This window comes from Homo sapiens, chromosome 1, assembly GCF_000001405.40.
Source record: "Homo sapiens chromosome 1, GRCh38.p14 Primary Assembly".
Taxonomy (NCBI): Eukaryota; Metazoa; Chordata; class Mammalia; order Primates; family Hominidae; genus Homo; species Homo sapiens.
In genome coordinates, this window is record NC_000001.11 from 218,618,107 (window position 1) to 218,623,338 (window position 5,232).

The following is a 5,232-nucleotide window of genomic DNA, read 5'->3' on the forward strand; positions in this document are numbered from 1 at the left end:
GATTTTAACTCTATCTACCAACTGGACTGAAAGAGAATTCAAGTGTATTATTCAAGATTGTGAAACAATTACTGTTTGGCAGAAGTGAGGTTTAAACTCAGTCCTGCCTCACTCCAAAGCCCAGTTTTCCACTACAACATTCTGTTCATGCTTGTCTACACTTGTCCACATCTTTTGATTTTTTTTACCACCTTGGTGGTATAGGTGGCTGTTACTTACTATTTTCTTTCACTATGTCTTATTTACTTCTGAGAATTTAGAAGGAGCTGTGGAATCTTTCACTGGAGGTTTTTAAAAAGTAAAACTAGGCCGGGCGTGGTGGATCATGCCTGTAATCCTAGCACTTTGGGAGGCCAAGGCGGGGGGATTGCCTGAGCTCAGGAGCTCGAGACCAGCCTGGGCAACACGGTGAAACCCAGTCTCTACTAAAAGACAAAAAATTAGCCGGGCGTGGCGGCGTGTGCCTGTAATTCCAGCTACTCAGGAGGCTGAGGCAGGAGAATCGCTAGAACCTGGGAGGCGGAGGTTGTTGCAGTGAGCCAAGATCAAGGCGCTACACTCCGGCCTGGGCGACAGAGCGAGGCTCCGTCTCTAAAAAATAATAATAATAAAAAATAAAAACTAGTTTGGAAGAATGCCTTGAATGCAGTCCTGCTCAGAAGCTACTTTGTGAGTCTGTGATTCCAGGAACTGCCAGTAAATGTAGCACTCATTAAATCATTCATTTACTCATTCAATTTTAAGTTGCTTGGTAGAAGAGAGGTTTGAAAACTGAATTAAATATAATCACTGCTAAAAAAAAAAAAAGGTAGTCACTGGTATATGCTACATTTACTGGACAAATTAATTGTCTTTCTTAGGTTCTAAATGTGATTTTCAGGAGACCTTGAGGGAAAAGGTTAAAAATATTTAGCTATGTCATTTTTGAATATCAGGAAGATCTAATATTTGGACAGGAGTTTTAGAAGTTCTGAATCTGCAAAGCTCCTGAGCATTTCAGTTTTGATTTTTTTTCTTTGCATTCTTCTTGATCTACATGTTCTAACACTGCTTTGTTTATTTTAGTGCTGAAAGAGTTTGCAACTTGTAGTTTATACTGCTCAAAGCCACTTTGGATAGTCTTCCCCTAGTCGAAGGACAAAATTATGCCCAGGGGCAAAACAGTAAAACAGGTAAAGTTTATCCTTGGCATCATCCTAAACTGTCTGGATTCCCACTCTTAGTCTTTTTAATTCATTTCTATTACTAATGCCCAACAGTGTCATAATTCTTCATCTTCTATCCAGGGTAAAAGTATTCAATAAATTCATTCATATTACAAGATTACTAAATTAATAATACACTTTCCAGAAATCTTTTTTTATCTTAAAAGAGAAAATCTAAGGAGAAGATCAATAATTATTTCAAAGGTATAAATGATGGATTGTAGCAGGTAAACGCTTTGAGTGTTAGTGTATGTGTCTTTAAATTTCCTCCCTTTGGGAAGCTGTACTTCTACAGAATGCCAGGGAGAGGCATGTGAGCCAGGTGGGCTAATGATGGGTGCTTCATCTCTTTGGCAATAAAAATTAGCTCAAGGTTTCTGTGCTTGAGCCATCTAAGCCCAAAGTCCTTTCTTGGAATCAATACAGGGATGGAGGAAAAGAATTGTTCTTTCTGTTGGGATTGCTAAAACAGGTAATTATGAGGATGAAGTGCCTGGACAATCATTGTTGGCCTGTAGAAGAAGCTCCTCTGCAGTCAAAAAACAATAATGATAAAGTCAACACATAGTGAGAAGAGCTGTGAGATGGAGAGACAGCTCTGGTTTGACATTATGACTCCTTCAAGCCAAATTAACTACAACTGAAATTAGATTTAAACATACTGTGCAAATGGTGTGTGTATGTGTGCATGTGTGTGTGTGTGCACTCACGTGTGTGGTGTGTATGTGTTATTCACATAATCCCTTCCTTATGTAGAACCACATTTCTCCCATCAGTGCCAGGAATAGACGTGTGAATTGGGATAGGCAGGCATCTCAGTTATGGTGAACTGTAAGGCACCAATTTCCACCCTACTTTTTTGGCAGTTGGGGTGGAGCTTGAACTAGGTCGACTTAAGTTTTTTTTGATACTTGGAATCAACAGTCCTGACTCATTAATTAACAGTAGGGTTTAAGATATTTTTGAGGGAGATATTTTTGAGTGGGTTATTTTTCTGTTGCCCCTCTCTCCTACCCTGTGAATGTTGATTTGTTGATGGTTTTGAATAATAATATCTTGTTGACATTGCAACTTGCCATTATTTTCTGATAAGCAGCTGTGATGTGGTCTCACTCTTTCTTTTTCTGCTGGTGTTTTCGATAGGATTCAATTCAATTCAGTTTGAGTCAATTTTTTCAGTTTAATTCATCTGGATTAGGTGCTCAGTGAGGCTCTTTTCTGGAAGGTAACCACTTTGCATTCCAACAATTATTCCACTTATAGAGGCCTAAAAATATGAGCCAATATTTCAGATTTTGCATGACAATCTATGCATCTTTTAGGTAAATCTGTTGAGCGCTGATAAAAATCAATGACTTGCCTCTGTTTTACCTTTAAAGCAATTCTGAAATCTTTCATAAGTAGAAGATAGGATTGGTGATTACAAGCTGATACTTGAAAAATTCACTGACAAGACAAAGATTATTTACATTGATATTTCTTATCCTGGGTGGTCATATAACTTTTCTTTCAAACATCACTGTCAATACCCTGATTAATGAAAGACTACAAACATGAGATGAAAGTATCAATCCTCTGTTTCACGTTAAGACTATATTTATTCTAAGTGATTATAACTGTACATTTATTTATATGAGTATGCCAACACATAATTCTTTTAAATAGAATCTATAAGTGGCTATCATAACCACCCTAGTTAGATATCACATGGATTCCAATGGAAGAAAAGACAAAACTGGTGGGACTTTCATAACTTTCTATTACTGCTCACTTCCTTTTTTATTTTCTAATATGACTTTGTTTTGGCTCCCATATTGTTGACATTGAGTGTGACTAAGCCTTTTCACTGAGGACCTTCTGTTCTCCTAGTCACTGCCTTTTGCTTTCCACCTGGGAGCTGGGGTCATCTTTCCACTTCCAGGGTGACTCTGGGTTCACAGTGAAGGGTCCTGGGTGGGAGGTTCTGATCGTGAGGGCAGGCCTGCCCAAAGGTCACTGCTGCTGTTGTAGGCACCAAGTCAATATCCCCAGCATGTCAACTGAGGACTTTCTCACATTTGCTTTTATTATAAAGCCATCTTGAGTGGAACAAACTCTATAAAATCAGCTAGCTGAAAAGTAAAAAATTCAGGCAGTCAGCTGATCCTTCTGCCTGCAGATCAGCAAATAACCATTGCGAGTGATGGCTTTTTCAAGATTACTTTGGATTGAAGCTATATATTCTGTAACAAAACCCAGCATGCTTGCTTTGATTAGCTTGATTGGCTAACAAAGTCATATGGAAAACAAAATGCATTTTTTTGTATTGACTTAAATGAAAATAACCTTCACCTTTTTTGTGACTGATTTGAATCCAATTTAATCTTGATGTTGTTCATAACCTAAGTGAGATTCATTGATGATAAGAATTACGTAAGTAGGCTGGGCGCGGTGGCTCACGCCTGTAATCCCAGCACTTTGGGAGGCCGAGGCGGGTGGATCACGTGGTCAGGAGATGGAGACCATCCTGGCTAACAGGGTGAAACCCCGTCTCTACTAGAAATACAAAAAAAATTAGGCGGGAGTGGTGGCAGGCGCCTGTAGTCCCAGCTACTCGGGAGGCTGAGGCAGGAGAATGGCGTGAACCTGGGAGGCGGAGCTTGCAGTGAGACGAGATTGAGCCACTGCACTCCAGCCTGGGCGACAGAGCGAGACTCCGTCACAAAAACAAACAAACAAACAAACAAACAAACAAACAAACAAAAGATTACTTAAGCAGTAAGATTCTTTAACAAGAGAAAAATTTTTTATAGCCTCAATTGAAGACTAACTTTCTTAATCAGCTGTACATTAGACTGTGACTATAAATATAAATTACATTAGTTCCTTTGGTTAAAATGACTTTCATATATGTGAGAAAAACTCAAGGACTAGCTTTAGTTAAACACTATTTATTTTCCCATCTCCAAAATGACAATCACTAGCAGTTAAATTGTAACTTTTAAATGAATTATTTTGACTTTACAAATACACAGGTTTATGCATAGAAATCTGGCTTTTCAAATGACTGAATCAAGTTGACTGGTGATCATTAATGATGATGCTTGAAAAAAAAAAACAACTGGCTATCCAAATGATAAATCCAGTAAATTAAGCATGGAATTATGAAAAATGCTATGCTATAGTTTAATGGGGTATTATGGCATAAAAAGTGTGAAATGTGGCTTTTGACATCAATCAATTTATAATCTACTTAAGAAGGACTTGTACACACACATACACACACAAACACACACACAAGATAGTTTCTAAATGCCAAGTAAATGTTGCAGTCAGAAGTGCAGAGAAGTTCGAAAGAAGGAGCAGTCCCAGAGGGCTAAGGTGACCAGAAACTTGAATTGAAGTTTAAAGGATAAAACAATTAATATAATTGAAGAGGGAGAAGGAAATGCTAAAGGAAAAAAATCATAAAATAAGCCTTTATTCCCCTTACAGTGCAATTGTAGCAATATTAGAAATGTAAGGAAGCACACGGTTTTAATAAAAAGTTAGAAAAATGACCTGATGTCTCTGATTGAATCTACATTATTTATAATATTTTTCTGTGCATATTCTGTAAAACAAATTAACAAGCTATTCAATTAGATTAACAGGTCAGTGGCTACTCTGATTATTTATTTATTTATTTATTTGAGATGGAGTCTCGCTCTGTCGCCCAGGCTGGAGGGCAGTGGTGCGATCTCGGCTCACTGCAAGCTCTGCCTCCAGGGTTCCCACCATTCTCCTGCCTCAGTTTCCCAAGTAGCTGGGACTACAGGTGCCTGCCACCACGCCCGGCTAATATTTTTTGTATTTTTAGTAGAGACGGGGTTTCACCATGTTAGCCAGGTTGGTCTCGATCTCCTGACCTCGTGATCCGCCCGCCTCGGCGTCCCAAAGTGCTGGGATTACAGGAGTGAGCCACCGTGCTTGGCCTCTGATTATTTATTGATATATAATAAATTTCCCCCAAATTTAGTGGCTTAAAGCAACAATAGATATTTATGAT

The 5,232-nt window shown here is 38.6% G+C and overlaps 1 annotated feature.

The window, feature by feature from the left end:
* Window positions 3,759-4,258: an enhancer, noted in NCBI's record as "H3K4me1 hESC enhancer chr1:218795207-218795706 (GRCh37/hg19 assembly coordinates)". NCBI's record gives its function as "activates a minimal SCP1, AML or CMV promoter by ChIP-STARR-seq in naive H9 embryonic stem cells {active_cell/tissue: H9 hESC(naive)}" and the evidence as "EXISTENCE:reporter gene assay evidence [ECO:0000049][PMID:30033119]".